The sequence below is a fragment of the Homo sapiens genome, chromosome 13 (genome assembly GCF_000001405.40).
Source record: "Homo sapiens chromosome 13, GRCh38.p14 Primary Assembly".
In the NCBI taxonomy this organism is placed as follows: Eukaryota; Metazoa; Chordata; class Mammalia; order Primates; family Hominidae; genus Homo; species Homo sapiens.
In genome coordinates this window covers 34,525,629-34,543,292 of record NC_000013.11, presented here as the reverse complement: position 1 = coordinate 34,543,292, position 17,664 = coordinate 34,525,629, and the positions used below count along the sequence as shown (strand labels likewise).

General features: G+C 43.1%; 2 long non-coding RNA genes across 2 annotated transcripts in view; one reads left to right on the top strand and one right to left on the bottom strand.

The window, feature by feature from the left end:
• The window catches only part of LINC02343 (long intergenic non-protein coding RNA 2343), a 268,250-nt gene that overhangs the window by 73,000 nt on the left and 177,586 nt on the right, over positions 1-17,664 (bottom strand). The gene's annotated exons all lie outside the window — the stretch shown is intronic.
• Positions 1-17,664, top strand: part of LINC00457 (long intergenic non-protein coding RNA 457) — a 205,236-nt gene that overhangs the window by 97,393 nt on the left and 90,179 nt on the right. The window contains exon 2 of the long non-coding RNA NR_047036.1: positions 8,888-9,005. This is a non-coding gene — a long non-coding RNA (long intergenic non-protein coding RNA 457). The remainder of the gene's footprint in view (positions 1-8,887; positions 9,006-17,664) is intronic.

Below are 17,664 nucleotides of genomic sequence, written 5' to 3'. Positions count from 1 at the left end.
TATAGGATGACTGTCATATGTGGTCCATCCTTGACTAAATGTCATTATTATGTGGCTCTTGACTATAGCTAGAGGAAAGGATTTTAGATGTCCCCACGACAAAGAAATGACAAGTGTTTGAGGTGATAGATAGGCTAATTACCCTGATTTGATCATTACATAAAGTACACATGTATCAAAACATCACACTCTACCCCATAAATATGCACTATTAGTATGTGTCAACTAAAAGGAAAAATAAACAACTAAAAAAAATATCTTCAGGTGTTTGTGGTTTTTCAGAGAGGGATGTGACTTAGGGGAGGGTGCTGTGGATTGACTGGCCAACCAGAGGGAAATATGGGGCTTTTTTGCTCACATAAATCATAAAATTGCAACAGGCGTGATAAAGAACCGATAGAGGACTTCAAATATATAGACATGTTTCGGGAGTCTCATGCTGCTGAAAGCGGAGCAACCGATAAGCTTTCGCCTGGTCTTGCTGGCAGGTTCATTTATAAGCAGTAGTGAAAGAAAAAATGTTAGTGAAATAGGCTGTCTGATGTGGAGTTTTCTGACTTTGTAGAAATAATTTATCAGATGTTTTGATGACTGCAGGTTTGCTCAGTGATAAAGCACAGACTTAAGTGTCAACTGAATTTGGATTCAAATTCAAGGTATGCCATTACCAGTAGAATTACCTCGAACAAGTTAGTTAACTTCTTTGGGTCATGAAATTTTCATTCGTGTAATAAGGAAAATATTAATTCATACCACAGAGGATTGTTGTCAGGTTTAAACAAGATAGTGCTTGTAAAGTGCATGGTAGACAGTGTACACTGGAATGCTTGTTTGATTATGACGAAAAAGAAATTTTAGAAAGAGACAAGTCCCTGAAGCCTATATAGACCCTTCTTTCTATGCTGTATTTCTCACTAACGTTACCTTGTTTTACAAACTAGATGCCTGCCATTAAAAAGGAGGAACTGTCTTTGAGGAGTTAGGATCAATTATGTGTTAACAAGACAAATGTGTATTTGAAATTTTAACCCTTCTGTCATTAATTAATCTGGGAGCTATGGTAAAAAAATTTAAGATTTTTCTTCTCTTAAAACTAGCTGACTGGACTGCATCTAAGTTTTCATTAAGTAGGCAATCAAAATCTTCAGTTTTTATTTAAAAAGACTCGTGGTAGAGAGAGACAGTTTAAATGCATAAGGAATGAGGTGGAATAATGATTTGGTGCATATATTCTGATAATTACTACTTCCTTTCTCTCAGCTCCCTTGCAATAAATGTGCTGTCTTTTTAAACTTCATTAACAAGAGATTACAAATTTTAATGGGGTACAATAATTCTACCTTAATTTCAGAGCAATGTAATGCAGGTATCTGTTCTTTCTAAGTAATTTTCCCTGAAATATTCCCAATGATTCAGAAAAGTTCTTTAAGGATTGAAATGATATATAGTGTTGGTACCAAATACATTTTATATTTTAATATTGAATGTTAGATATTATTAAGCCTTTAGTATTGCAAGTGAAACAACAGCTGATTGTGCTCTTGTGCAGAAACCAAATCTTTCTTTTTTTTTTTTTTTTTCCATTTAACCATGAGTGGACACAGCACATGTTTCAGAGAGCACAGGGTTGGGGGTAAGGTCACAGATCAACAGGATCCCAAGGCAGAAGAATTTTTCTTAGTGCAGAACAAAATGAAAAGTCTCCCATGTCTACTTCTTTCTACACAGACACGGCAACCATCCGATTTCTCAATCTTTTCCCCACCTTTCCATTCCACAAAGCCGCCATTGTCATCCTGGCCCGTTCTCAATGAGCTGTTGGGCACACCTCCCAGACGGGGTGGTGGCCGGGCAGAGGGGCTCCTCACTTCCCAGTAGGGGCGGCCGGGCAGAGGCGCCCCTCACCTCCCGGACGGGGCGGCTGGCCGGGCAGGGGGGGCTGACCCCCCCCACCTCCCTCCCGGACGGGGCGGCTGGCCGGGCGGGGGGCTGACCCCCCCCACCTCCCTCCCGGACCGGGCGGCTGGCCGGGCAGAGGGGCTCCTCACTTCCCAGTAGGGGCGGCCGGGCAGAGGCGCCCCTCACGTCCCAGACGGGGCGGCTGGCCGGGCGGAGGGCTGACCCCCCCACCTCCCTCCCGGACAGGGCGGCTGGCCAGGCGGGGGGCTGACCCCCCCACCTCCCTCCCGGATGGGGCGGCTGGCCAGGCGGGGGGCTGACCCCCCCACCTCCCTCCCGGACGGGGCGGCTGGCCGGGTGGGGGGGCTGACCCCCCCACCTCCCTCCCGGACCGGGTGGCTGGCCGGGCAGAGGGGCTCCTCACTTCCCAGTAGGGGCGGCCGGGCAGAGGCGCCCCTCACCTCCCAGACGGGGCGGCTGGCCGGGCGGAGGGCTGACCCCCCCCACCTCCCTCCCGGACAGGGCGGCTGGCTGGGCGGGGGGCTGACCCCCCCACCTCCCTCCCGGATGGCACGGCTGGCCGGGCGGGGGGGCTGACTCCCCACCTCCCTCCCGGATGGGGCGGCTGGCCGGGCGGGGGGCTGACCCCCCCCACCTCCCTCCCGGACGGGGTGGCTGCCGGGCGGAGACGCTCCTCACTTCCCAGATGGGGTGGCTGCCGGGCGGAGAGGCTCCACACTTCTCAGACGGGGCGGCTGCCGGGCGGAGGGGCTCCTCACTTCTCAGACGGGGTGGTTGCCAGGCAGAGGGTCTCCTCACTTCTCAGACGGGGCGGCCGGGCAGAGACGCTCCTCACCTCCCAGACGGGGTCTCGGCCGGGCAGAGGCGCTCCTCACATCCCAGATGGGGCGGCGGGGCAGAGGCGCTCCCCACATCTCAGACGATGGGCGGCCGGGCAGAGACGCTCCTCACTTCCTAGATGTGATGGCGGCTGGGAAGAGGCGCTCCTCACTTCCTAGATGGGATGGCGGCCGGGCGGAGACGCTCCTCACTTTCCAGACTGGGCAGCCAGGCAGAGGGGCTCCTCACATCCCAGACATGGGCGGCCAGGCAGAGACACTCCTCACTTCCCAGACGGGGTGGCGGCCGGGCAGAGGCTGCAATCTCGGCACTTTGGGAGGCCAAGGCAGGCGGCTGGGAGGTGTAGGTTGTAGTGAGCCGAGATCACGCCACTGCACTCCAGCCTGGGCACCATTGAGCACTGAGTGAACGAGACTCCGTCTGCAATCCCGGCACCTCGGGAGGCCGAGGCTGGCGGATCACTCGCGGTTAGGGGCTGGAGACCGGCCCGGCCAACACAGTGAAACCCCGTCTCCACCAAAACCAGTCAGGCGTGGCGGCGCGTGCCTGCAATCGCAGGCACTCGGCAGGCTGAGGCAGGAGAATCAGGCAGGGAGGTTGCAGTGAGCCGAGATGGCAGCAGTACAGTCCAGCTTCGGCTCCACATGAGAGGGAGACTGTGGGGAGAGGGAGAGGGAGACGGAGAGGGAGAGGGAGAGGGAGAGGGAGAGGGAGAGGGAGAGGGAGAGCGAGAACGCTCACATCTTCTATCTGTCCAAACTCAAACCAAATCTTTCTTACCAAGTTTTAACATTTTAATAGGAATTAAGGTTTTCTTAGCAGTGGTTGTGGCTTAGTGGATAACGCACTAAGAAAATCTGGCAACCAGCGCTTAACCAGACCTAAGTGCCAAAATGACTGAGCTATAACTCAAGTAAAAGCATTTTAACATTTTATGAAATATTGAAACATCACATCCACAATCAGTAGGCCTCAACACTGAAAATGGCAATTATGCAATTCGGAGACCACCATGGACATAATCCTGGCCTTTTTTTCTTTTTCTCACTGGACTGGCGTCTAGTCTTTGTAATACTGATTTTTTTTTTTCTGAATATGTTCCCTATCCAGTGATGTTTCTAAACCTCTGAATTTGAGAAGGGATAATTGAAGCAACTAAATAAATGGATTACGAAAAATTGTGCAAAATTTATTTCCAAAGTTCAAGAAAGAGCCAAAAAGCTTTCCTGGAATGGTCTTGGGTTTAGAATGAACTTTTAAGTTGAAAACAGAAATTTTCCCCCAAGAGAGATTGTCCTTTGAAACTGTCAAGAATAAACAAACAGCAACAATTATTCTCTGATTCTTGCTTCCTGAGAAACTAATAGTTCTTGAGATTGGTCCTGTGGGATAAAAGAAGCCTTTGCATTTTCTCTAAGTAAGATGTTTTGAATTTAACTTCACACTTAACAGTTTTTTTCTCTGTCTCATCATGTTATCAATTACATCCTGAGGCATGTTTTAGCTTCTGTTTTAATTGATTCCCATACTGTTCTGTAGAGACTATCACTAGTCATCAATTCCTTCATAGTTTAATTTAAGTTTTTCTTTTTTTTTTGGCAAGGGGGAGATAGAAGGACAGGGTAGCAATTTAACATGTTTCATTATGAGTCCCTGCTTTAATATTACTTTATATCAAGCTGATCAAGAGTCGAACACATGATATTTCCAGTTGGGTGTGTATGAAAAAGCTCAGGGATAGGGCACAATTAAGAGAATTTTTTTGTTGTTGTTGTTAATGAGAAGATCCATTCATCTCCCTGTCAGCCAATTTTTTTGACCCTTAGGGATTTTATCTGTGGAGAAATTACTGTAAAGCAATGTGGCAAATTGCTTTAGAATAATCCTGCCAGAGTCAGAGACTTCCTGGTTTTCCACCCCCTTCCCTCCTACCCAGCCTGGTAAAACTTTGTCTCCTGTGACTTCAGGGGAATCCATTCTCTGAAACCATTTCTTACCTCTGCAAAAAAGTGTAATCTAGAGGGAGCTTCATTGAAAGGGCAAGAAATTTGAAGTCAGATAAATTGGGTTTTCCTTGATTTTCTCATGGTTAAAATGCATGTTGAAGCTGGGCGCGGTGGCTCACACCTGTAATCCCAGCACTTTGGGAAGCCCTGGCGGGTGGATCACGAGGTCAGGAGTTCAAGACCACCCTGACCAACATGGTGAAACCCTGTCTGTACTAAAAATACAAAAATGAGCTGGGCGTGGTGGTATTCGCCTGTAGTCCCAGCTACTTGGGAGGCTGAGGCAGGAGAATCGCCTGAACCCAGGAGGTGGAGGTTCCAGTGAGCCAAAATTGCTCCACTGCACTCCAGTCTGGGTGACAGAGTGAGACTCAATCTCAAAAAAAAAAAAAAAAAGAATGTTGGGTGTTGGGGAGGAAAAAATTTTTGTCTACTTGCTTATGCTAAGTGCTTGGGGGCCTGCAAATTAAACTACAGAAGAAAAGACACGCAGGTTTTGTTAATATTTATTGGCACAGAGATCACAGAAAATATTAGGTTGGTGCAAAAATAATTGCGGTTTTGCCTTTTTTTTTTTTCTTTTTCTTTTCTTTTTTTTTTTTGAGAGGCAGTCTCACTCTGTTCCCCAGGCTGGAGTGCAATGGTGCAATCTTGGCTCACCGCAACCTCTGCCTCCTGGGTTCAAGTGATTCTCCTGCCTCAGTCTCCCAAGTAGCTGGGATTACAGGTGTGTGCCAACACATCTGGCTAATTTTTGAATTTTTAGTGGAGTTGGGGTTTCACCATGTTGGCCAAGCTAGTCTTGAACTCCTGACCTCAGGTAATTGGCCCACCTTGGCCTCCCAAAGTGCTGGGATTACAGGCAGGAGCCATTGTGCCCAGTTGGTTTTTGCCATTACTTTCAATGGCAAAAAATTGCAATTACTTTTGCACCAAGCTAAGAAGTGAAACAAAGAAATGATTAGATTTAGGAAACAGTGCTTGGGCTTCAAAGGATCATAAATTATAGGGGAAGTGACTGGGAAATATGTAGGGGATCTAATGGAAAATAAAGACTATTGTAGAAGATAAGTTTTTTTTTTTTTTGAGGCAGAGTCTCATTCTGTCTTTGAGCCTGGAGTGCAGTGGCGTGATCTCGGCTCACTGCAAGCTCCGCCTCCTGGGTTCACACTATTCTCCTGCCTCAGCCTCCTGAGTAGCTGGGACTACAGGCGCCCGCCACCACACCCAGCTATTTTTTTTTTGTTTGTATTTTTGGTAGAGACAAAGTTTCACCATGTTAGCCAGGATGGTCTCAATCTACTGATCTCGTGATCCGCCCCCCTCGGCCTCCCAAAGTGCTGAGATTACAGGCGTGAGCCACCGCATCCAGCCAGAAGATGAGTTCTTTAGACTCTTCAGCTGTCATGACATTTCTGCATTTTGCCATTTGACTCAAACACTATTAGTGGTTCCTCTTGGTCTAAGAGACAAAACCAACTTGCTAATTGGCATTTAAGAATCCTTTAACAAGGACTGATCAGGCTTCTCTAACCAGTTTATAAAAATGCCTAGTGGAACCTGGCCTTTGCATCTCATAATTTTCCTGCAATCTAAGTTCCAGTCTGTCTTCAATGCTGAAGTCAAGGTTTGCTGACCATACTCTCTGATTGGCCTAGAGCAGGCACTTTTTATACCTGTTGTCTCAGCATACTTATTAACAGTATCCTGTTTCTCATTCAAAAGTATCCAGGCTTAGAAGATAAATGATATGTCATCCTACTTATGAATCTTTCCTGTCCATCCCAAACTGCAATGGCTATTTCCTTCTTCTGAAATCCTTAGAGATGTCTGTCTAAAGCACTGCTTTAGCGTGTAGCACATGCTATAATTACGATGTGCCCACCATGTGCCAGGTACCTGAATACACTATCTATATAATCTATGAAACCTATTTTTTCAGATAAGCAATAAAAGACACAAACAGCAATTTAAAATCATTTCTTGTTCATTGTCTCAGAGGCAGTGGCAGCAGGACTTTGATTTAAACATAGAGCCATCTGTCTCCAAAACTACGCTTGTTTCACCACGTTGAGTGACAAACTTATCTCAGTTTTCCTGGGACTGTCCCAGTTCTAACACTGAAAATCTCTCATCCCAGGAACCTCCCTGTTCCCCTGCAAATGGGGAGGAAGGGTCGTTCACCCTACCGTGACATCGTCGAGGCCTCAGCTGACTTGAACACAAAATAGATATTCCTATATTGGACCCTAGTTGTGTCATAAATAAGCTCTTAGCTAGAGGGGTCTAGACCATTCCTCCATTTAATCCTCAGAGTCTAGCACAGTGACCTACTAAAATGTCACTTTGTTTTCTCCCTCACATTATTTCATGAGTGTGTTTTGCTTTTATGGTTAACTGGTAATCCTATTTGGCAAGTAAATTATGTTTTTTTCCTTTGTCTCTCATGCTGCCCAGCCCTGTGTTTGACCTGCAGGGACTCAACCAATGTGTAGTTGCTGAGTAAGCAAGCTTGAGTCGCATGTTTTTCTGAACATATGGGTTTTAATGGTAGCCTGTTAAAGCCTGCTTCAGTGTTGTAAAAAATCCTTTCACTGCACCACTCCTGATCTCTTCAAAAACATCTTTCAGCACAAATGGGGTACCATACCACCGAGGACACATATCTGTCTTTGAGTAGTGCCCCTTTCTGATACACTTCTGGTTTAAATGCCCATAATCATTCTGTTTCCCTCAGCCTCCTGGTATTTCACCCAAGAGAAATCACCCTTTAGGTTTCATTCTAACGTAAATAGATGTGAGAATGAAAAGAGAGACTGAATTACTTTAGAAGATAAATTTCAGAATTCATGAAGAGTTTGAGGCTTAAAGAGATACTTAATTAACGTTCATGTTTTTTATTTTTTTGCAAGCTGCCACATCCATAATCCCAAAGACTTCTTTGGATGGTACTTGTTTTCTATGCTAAGACTAAAGTCTGCTTTAGAACAAATGCTTTTCTTCTAAAATGATATATTCTAGCTGACACAGTTTTTTCCTTTCTCCCCAAGTCACATCCAGGGATAAGGACGATCCTCGTCTTTTGTAAAGTCTCAGGCCTAGGTGCCAGGGATCTTCTAATATACGGTTCTGGAATTACAATAGATGCCTCATTTTTTACTCTATCTGTTGCAGTCCCCTATTACATCAGTTATTCCAGGGCAGGAGGTCAAGGGGTGGCGTGGGTCAACATCTCAAGGGTTATTTGCCTGTTGGGAACTTTATTTTTCTTTTAACATTTTATTGCTGACTCCCCAAGGGTTTTGAATTTATAAAAGAAACCCACCTACACCTCATCAGAAATTACTGATTTCAGAGATTGCTGAAGAACACAGCCATATCAATAAAAGAATGTGTATTTTGTAAGCTAATCTTTAAAATATTGCCAAAAGACAGGGTGTGGTGAATCATGCCTGTAATCCCAGTGTGAGAGGCTGAGGTGGGAGGATCACTTGAGCTTAGGAGTTTGAAACCAGCCTAGGCAACATGGCAAGACCCCATCTCTACAAAAAATCTTAAAGTTAGCTGGGCGTGGTGCTGCACACACCTGTAGTCCCACCTTCTTAGCAGGCTGAGGCAGGAGGATAACTTGAGGTTGCGGTGATCTGTGATTGCACCACTGCACTCTAGCCTGGGTGATAGAGTGAGACTTTGTCTGTTAAGAAAAAAATTTCTGAAAGATGGTGAGGTCAGCAATTGTCTAACTATACAAACTCTGTATATGAGTTGAAATAGTTCTCTTGTTCCCTTCAAATGGAGGTGGACAAAACTATTAACTTTCTCTTGTCCTTATGTCCCGTCACCTACCTTTCTATAATTTTTATTAGGCGCTTTAATGTGTGGGCTGAAATCAATAGAGGACAAGCTATTAAAAATTATTGGTTGGCTGTGGCTCCTCACTAAATATTAAAGCAGCCTGGCAAATTAGCACATACCTCTAGGCACTAGGCCTGAGAGAAATAATGGTCTAGGCAAATAGACACTATAATACAAGTAGAAAATTCTGCCAGTGTGTTGCTCTGGGTTTCTTTTGACTGCTGCTGTTCACTGTTAATATTATTCTGTTTTTTTTCTTTTAATAGTGTGAGGAGATGTGGTGGGGACCATTAACTGTTGGAAGGATTCCTTTTAAGGATGCATTATATCAAGAGCTAGATATCAGAGCCACTTGGGAGAAATAAGAAACAGGTGTAGAAACAGGTGAGTAGAATGTTGCTTATTATGCCTCTGGATTAAGTGCCTGGGAGGAGTGGGCAATTTTTCAGGGTGCTGTGTGCCTTTTATTCTTGGAGGATTGGTAGACAACATGTTCATGCAAATGATATGAAGAAGATTGGCACCTGGAAAATCAAGGAAGAGGTGGGGCCGTGTAGGCAGAGACTTAATTTTCTCAAGTGAATGAAGAAAAAAGCACATGGTGAGGCTGATTCTGTGGGGATGTATTTGAGCTAGAAGATTCAGGAGGGAAAATTAGTTCTAAGACAAAGATGGAGACATCAATAAGATTGGGAAATACTCAGACGTCAGAAGAATTTGGGTTTGAATCAGAATTCCTTTACATACTTTCTAAGTTTCAAGTTAAGCAGCAATTCAGTGTTTCAAACCTTACGATTGATAAACAAAAAATAAAATGAAATTCACCGATTTATTCATTATGCTTTTCTGATTATGAAAACTTAAGAATGAAATAGCATATTTTGGGTTCCCCATGTGTACAAGGAGGAATTTATAGTTTGTCATTCTGTCTGCACTCCAGCAACTCCCAAATCTTAGCTAACGTAATCTGGGGTGTGGAAGCAAAGAATACATTTTGTACCATGTATCATATTCAAGAAGAATTTTTCATGTTTACATTTTTATAACCTGTAACCATTTTTATAAAAACTATTGAGATTAACACGGTTTAACTCATTCACTGTTTACCTGCTATTTCCCACTTGGAGGTTCTAAACTTTGTTCACTTTTAGGTCAAATGAATTATGTTAAGTTTTTCTTATGAAGTTACGTGACAGAGACTGTCTTTATTTACTTTTGTGCATGAACAACAATTTGGCAGAGCAAATTGGTTCATGGCATTTTCCTCTTGGCGGTTTCATACGCGTTGTCTGTTATCTGACATTACATATGGCAGATGAGTACCCTCAGATCAACCTAACTTTTTCCTGTTTGCATATTGGGTTCTGTTTTTATCTCTGAAGCAAAACTTTCCTATAGAGTACAGATATTCTTCTCTTATAGTATAAGCGACGAACATTGGGTACCAAAAAGTCCCAGAAAAGCATACAAACTCCATCATGAAAAGGAAGGATGATGAAGACGGATGGTCACACACACAATCAGATAGAAGGAAGTCTAGCATTAAGTTACACAATGATGGACTCACCAAGTAACCCAAAAAGAAAGCTGAGCACCCAGCCCAGGTTAGCCCCCCTGTTTCCTGATAGATAAATCTGCTGGATGATTCTGTTGATTATAGTGAGAAGATAATGATACACAGTGAAAAATAATGATGCACCATAAAGTAATTATAAAACAGAGGTCAGACATCCTGTAACAAGATGATATGGGCATTTTAGTATAAAGTGGTAGTGCTAGGAATACAGTTTAAGGTGGAAAGGGGGTAGGAGGAAGGAGGAAGTGTATTTCTTTAGTCACATTAGCCAGATTCTCTACCTTGACATTGTATCTCCCAGATCTATTTAGAGATAAGAGATTTGGGCTGGAAGTCGTTCTTTTTCTTTTCTTTTTTTTTTTTAATGGAATCTGATATTTTTGCACTGAGGACATATAACAGTCTCCAAAATTGGATTTTCTTTTCTTAATAAATTATTCCCAGAAATGTATAATTTCACTGAATCTTCTTATTGCTATATTAATCAGACTAGACAATTGTAACACATTATAATTATTGTTACTGCAGTAACAACTCCCCAATCTTAGTGGCTTATAACAAACAAGGTTTGCTTCTTCTGCCTATCACAGCCAAATAGGATCCCTGCATCTTTTCTCCTCCCCTGTAACTTATGTAGGAAGAGCAATTCCCATCCCTGTACCAGTGGCAGAGGCAAAGAGAGGCCCTGGCAAACCATACACTACTTTTTAGAGCCTTCACTTAAAAGTGACCTGTCCCACTCATCCCATTTCATTGTTCTAAGTGTGTCAAATGCCCAAAGCTAATTTCAAGGGAGCAGTGTTGTGTGATCCTATTAAGGTGTCTGAAGGGGGCAGAAACAGAAATATCAGTGAACGAAGCAAATGACCACCATTGTGTGTTGTTTCTTGTTCTTCAAAATATTTTTCAGGCTTTCTATGACATTTTTTGTTTTGAGATAGAGTCTCACTCTGTTGCCCAGGCTGAAGTGCAGTAATACGATCTCGGCTCACTGCAACCTCTGCCTCCTGGGTTCAACTGATTCTCCTGCCTCAGACTCCCGAGTAGCTCGGATTACAGGCTCACACACCATGCCTGGCTAATTTTTCATACTTTTAGTAGAGACAGTGTTTCACCATGTTGGCCAGGCTAGTCTTGAACTCCTGGCCTCGAGTGATCCACCTGCCTCGGCCTCCCAAAGTGCTGGGTGCTGGGATTACAAGTGTGAGCCACTGTGCCCAGCCTCTATGTCATTTTTTCAAAAACAATTTTTTTCTCCCCTAAATGTAGAAAGGCTCCAACCAGGCCTAAGTGCTAACAATGTCAAGTTATCCTATTATATTCTCTTATAACACTATTGATCCATATCACAAAAATGTTATTAAGCACTGATTCTAGGCACTGAAAAAAAAGCATTAAAATGAGTTTAGCAAGGATAAATGTAAAACACTGCATACATTGTACAAATATAGAAGGGGTTATAGTTTTATGGTTGTTTTGATGATGAGCTCATTGGGAGCTAATAAAGTATCAGAGCTGCTAAAGAAAAAAAAAAGCAAATACAATGTCAGGTTGTATTAAGAGCAGCATTGTCCAGGTCAAGTGTATAGTGGCACTACTGCAGAGCCCAGAGATCTGACCACTTCTGGAATATCATGGATTTTTATAGGATATCAAAATCCATACGGGGATAGAATATCCAGTGGAACACAAGGGGATGATAGTGGGACCATAAACCATATGGTGGGGGAAGTCTTGTGAAGATGGGAGATGCTCAGCCTGATAGTTGAGGCACAAAATGCATGTAGTGCTACTCTTGAGAACAGAAGCAACTCCAATGAATGAAGTTTCCAGGAAGATACATTTCCACTCTGGTGGAAAAAGCAAAAGTTTCGTGATCAAAATAAATTCGACCCAGCAATCCCATTACTGGGTATATACCCAAAGGAATTTAAATTTTTCTATTATAAAGACACATGCATACATATGTTCATTGCAGCACTATTCACAATAGCAAAGACATGGAATCAATCCAAATGTCCATCAGTGATAGAGTGGATAAAGAAAATGTCATACATATAAACCATGGAATATTATACTGCCATTAAAAAGAACAAGATCATCATTTCCTTTGCAGGGACATGGATGGAGCTGGAGGCTGTTATCCTTAGCAAACTAACACAGGAACAGAAAACCAAATACCACATGTTCTCACTTACACGTGGGAGCTAAATGATGAGAATACATGAACACATAGAGGGTAACAACATACACTGGGTCCTATTGAAAGTGGAGGGTGGGAGGAGGGAGAGAATTATGTATTAGTTCATTTTCATGCTGCTGATAAAGACATACCCAAGACTGGGAAGAAAAAGAGGTTTCATTGGACTTACAGTTCCACATGGCTGGGGAGGCCTCAGAATTATGGTGGGAGGTGAAAGGCACTTCTTACATGGTGGTGGCAAGAGAAAATGAGGAAGAAGCAAAAGTGGAAATCCCTGATAAACCCATCAGATCTCATGAGACTTATTCACTATCTTGAGAATAGCACAGGAAAGACCAGCTCCCGTGATTCAGTTACCTCCCCCTGGGTCCCTCCCACAACACATGGGAATTCTGGGAGATAAAGTTCAAGTTGAGATTTGGGTGGGGACACAGCCAAACTATATGCTTCCACCCCTAGCCCCTCCGAATCTCATGTCCTCACATTTCAAAACCTTCCTAACAGTCCCCCAAAGTCTTACCTCATTTCAGCATTAACCCAAAAGTTCACAGTCCAAAGTCTCGTCTGAGACAAGGCAAGTCCTTTTCACTTATGAGCCTGTAAAATCAAAAGCAAGCTACTTACTTCCTAGATATAATGGGGGTACAGGTACTGGGTAAATACAGCCATTCCAAATGGGAGAAATTGGCCAAAACAAATGGGTTATAGGGCCCAAGCAAGTCCAAAATCCAGTGGGGCAGTCAAATTTTAAAGCTCCCAAAACTATCTTCTTTGACTCCATGTCACATTAATACAAGACGTGGGTTCCCATGGTCTTGGGCTGTTCTGCCCCTGTGGCTTTGCAGAGTACAGCCTCCCTCCTGGCTGCTTTTACAGGCTGCTGTTGAGTGTCTGTGGCTTTTTCAGGCACACAGTGCAAGCTGTCAGAGGATCTACCATTCTGGGGTCTGGAGAACAGTGGCCCTCTTCTCACAGCTCCACTAAGCAGTGCCCCAGTAGGGACTTTGTGTGGGATCTCCGACCCCACATTTCCCTTCCGCACTGCCCTAGCGGAGATTCTCCGTGAGGGCCCTGCACCTACAGCAAACTTTTGCCTGGGCATCCAGGCATTTCCATACATCTTCTGCATTTAGGTGGAAGTTCCCAAACCTCAATTCTTGACTTCTGTGCACCCATAGGCTCAACAACACGTGGAAGCTGCCAAAGCTTGGGGCTTCTACCCTCTGAAGCCACAGCCCGAGCTGTATGTTGGCCCCTTTCAGCCATGGCTGAAGTGGTTGGGACACAGGGCATCAAGTCCTTAGGCTGCACACAGCAGAGGGACCCTGGGCCTGGGCCACGAAACCACTTTTTCCTCCTGGGCCTCCAGGCTTGTGATAGGAGGGACTGCTGTGAAGGTCTCTGACATGGCCTGGAGACATTTTCCCCAAGGTCTTGGGGATTCACATTAGGCTCCTTGCTACTTATGCAAATTTCTGCAGCTGGCTTGAATTTCTCCCCAGAAAAATGGGTTTTTCTTTTCTGTCGCATAGTCAGGCTGCAAATTTTCCAAACTTTTATGCTCTGCTTCCCTTATGAAACTGAATGCCTTTAACAGAACCCAAGTCACCTCTTGAATGCTTTGCTGCTTAGAAACTTCTTCCACCAGATACCCTAAATCATTTTTCTCAAGTTCAAAATTCCACAAATCCCCGGGGCAGGGGCAAAATGCTGCCAGTCTCTTTGCTAAAACATAACAAGGAATCACATTTACTCCAGTTCCCAACAAGTTCGTCATCTCCATCTGAGACCACCTCAGCCTAGACATTATTGTCCATATCACTCTCAGCATTTTGGGCAAAGCCATTCAACAAGTCTCTAGGAAGTTCCAAACTTTCCCACATTTTCCTGTCTTCTTCTGAGCCCTCCACACCATTCCAGCCTGTGCCTGTTACCCAGTTCCAAAGTCACTTCCACATTTTCAGATATCTTTTCAGCAACACCCCACTCTACTGGTACCCGTTTACTGTATTAGTTTGTTTTTACGCTGCTGATAAAGATATACTTGAGACTGGGAAGTAAAAGAGGTTTAATTAGACTTACAGTTCCACATGGCTGGGGAGGCCTTAGAATCATGGCAGGAGGTGAAAAGTACTTCTTACATGGTGGCAGCAAGAAGAAATGAGGAAGAAGCAAAAGTGGAAACCATTGATAAACCCATCACATCTCGTGAGACTTATACACTATCACGAGAATAGCAGGGGAAAGACCAGCCCCCATGATTCAATTACCTCCCCCGGGTCCTTCCCACAACATGTCGGAATTGTGGGAGATACAATTCAAGTTGAGATTTGTTGGGGATGCAGTCAACCATACCAAATAACTAATGGATACTAGGCATAATACCTGGGTAATGAAATAATCTATACAACAAACCAACATGGCAGACATTTACCTATGTATCAAACCTGCGTATCTTGAACATGTACCCCTGAACTTAAAATAAAAGTTAAAAATAAATAAATAGTGGCTACAAATTCAAGTGAGCAATTGCCCAGCAGTGTGTGATCTTGGAAAAGTTATTTAACCTCTTAGAACCTCAGTTTTCTTATCTGTAATATAGGGGCAATGAGATCTATCTTATGTGGTATTCTATACTATTATATCCATTTCACTGATGAACTATTTGGAGCTGCTCTGCCAATATGATAGCTGTTGAGCACTTGAAATATAACTGATCCAGATTGAATTGTGCAGTAGGTATGAAACACACATTGGATTCTGAAGACTTCCTATGAAAAGAAAATTGTAAAATATTTCCATAATCAAAAAAATGACATTTTTGATACTTTGCATTACATGAAATATGTTATTAAAATGAATTTTACCTGATTCTTTTTACTTGTAAAAATGTGGTTACTAGAACATTTTAAATTATGTGTGCAGCTTGCATTGTATTTCCACTGGACAGTGTTGATATAATTTTTCATTATCCATATCTTTCTAGAAGCCTCAAAAATTAGGTTTCATATTTGTGCATGTGTTTTAGCCTAAAAGTTAGTTACTAAGAGGGAGTCATTAAAGGATGACTCTTTCCTAGCCCCAAGTAAATATTGGGGTTGACTTCCAAGGAAAATATAGCCCATTTGTGTTGAATTAAAGGAAGGGCAAGCTCCGGAAAACAGGAGCCTGTTCTGCACAAGTGGAAAAAGGGTATATGCAGAAAACCAGAGCAGGGAGGGGTAAAGGGCAAGTGTGTTGAAAGGGTGCTTTTATCCCTCAGCATGTTAGAGGAGTATATTCCTCAACCTTGTGAATGTGCCAGCCAGCCCTGGTCCTGGTGGGTAAAGACAAGTTCCACCTCTCTGACTTCATCCTTTTTGGTCTCTACTTGGTAAAGTGTCTATATTTCTTATAATTCTTACGATGAAACTATTGATAATGCAAATCTTCCAGAAGCTTTTGGAGGAGCTGTGGAACTGAGAAAAAGCAAATGAATTGTCTGTGAGTGAAAGGAAATAAAGTGAAATAAATAAGAGCCTAAGTTGAGAATGCTGAAAAAGGTCCATAACCATATATATGTAATTGTTTTCCATGATGAACTCAAGAATTACTCCCAGGTTTGTATACAAATATGTAGTGGTACATTTCCTACAAATACATATGAAAGTTATTCTCTTTTCGTTAGAAGTCCAAACATCTTGCTAGTTGATCTCTTTGCATCTGGTCTCTCTCTTCCCATCCAGCCTGTACACCACTCCCATATTAAACTTTCTAAAATTTCATGTTTATGCCTTCACTCTCTTGCTCAGTATTCCATTTCTTCCCTTTGCCTAGACTAGAAGAATTCCAAACATTTCAGTCTGATAACAAATAACCTTTCATAACTGAACCTTTTTAACCATCAGCCTTGATATTTCCCCATCAAGCCGACCTTTCTAGTGACCTGTTTTCCTTCCCTCACTACTCCTTCCCACAGGACTCTTGGCTTCTGTCTTTATTCTTCACCACCTGTCTCCATTCCTATCTGTTGCATCTCCACAAATGCATCTCCATCCCATGAAATCTCTGTCCACTGCAGCCCACGAACAGCAGCTCACATGGATAGCCATGTCTTCCCCAAGCTGTATGCAAGTGCGGGTCACAAGATACAAGTCATAAAGCAATTGAACAAAAATGGTCCGCAGCTTCTGCCAGCTGAAAGGTATCTTTCCCAGGAAGTGTCTAGATGACCATGTTTTGTGCAAAGGAAGAAGCTGATTTTATTGCAAATTCAAACAGAAAGGGAGTCTTCCACTGTCAGTGAGTATAAAATGCACTCCCCTCCCTCAGGAGTCTGGGAGGAAAGCATGGATTCAGTTAGATGCCAAAAGCACGAAATGCAGGCTGGAGCACTCAGGTTACAAAGAAAGGAGCTATGGTGTTAAATATTTTCATGAACAAGAAATCAGGCAGTCGACGTTTCTGAAACACACTCAAGAGGGCTAAAATCTTATACAGATATGTGTACGTATATTTTAATAATCCTATATTTTGCCAAGTCAAAGGCAAAAAAGCACCTTTGATTACTAAGAATCCTAAATGGAGAAATAGACAAACCAAGGTAGAACTTACAGAAGATGAACAGGACAGAACATAGAATAAAAGATCCAGATGGGGGCCCTGACATTTTCCTATGGCTGCACCGAAACAAGATTATCCAAGGAAAATTCCTGACTAAGAAGAAACTGGAAATTGGTATCAGAATCTCTGGTAAATCATTTTAGTTTTTTTGCTATTTAAATAGAGGGAAAGTTGTACCTAATTCTAGTAAATGTGTGTTCAATCTCCTATCTTTGATATTAAGGGTCAGCAAACTATAGCCTGTTTGCCCACAGCCCTAACTTCTGCCTTTGTAATTAAAGTTTTATTGGGACTCAGTCACATCCATTTATTTGCATGGTGCCTTTCACATTACAACCACAAATGTATTAGTTGCAACAGAAACCGTATGGCTCATAAGACCTAAAAAGTATTCACTATCTGGACCTTTATAGAAAAAGTGGGCAGATGGCTGTTTGACCTAAAGAACCCCTCCTGTCATTGGTTTTCATTAGCAATTATCAAAGTGGGTTCCATGTAATGATGTTACAAGGTGTTACTCGGTGAGAATAGTCTAGGCTTATGCTGCAGTAACAAACAACCTCAGAATTTCAGGGGCTTAACACACAGAGCTTACTTTTCACTCATGCAAAGTTTGCTGCAGTCTCCAAGTTGCTTGTCCTCTATGGGGTGACTCAGTGATC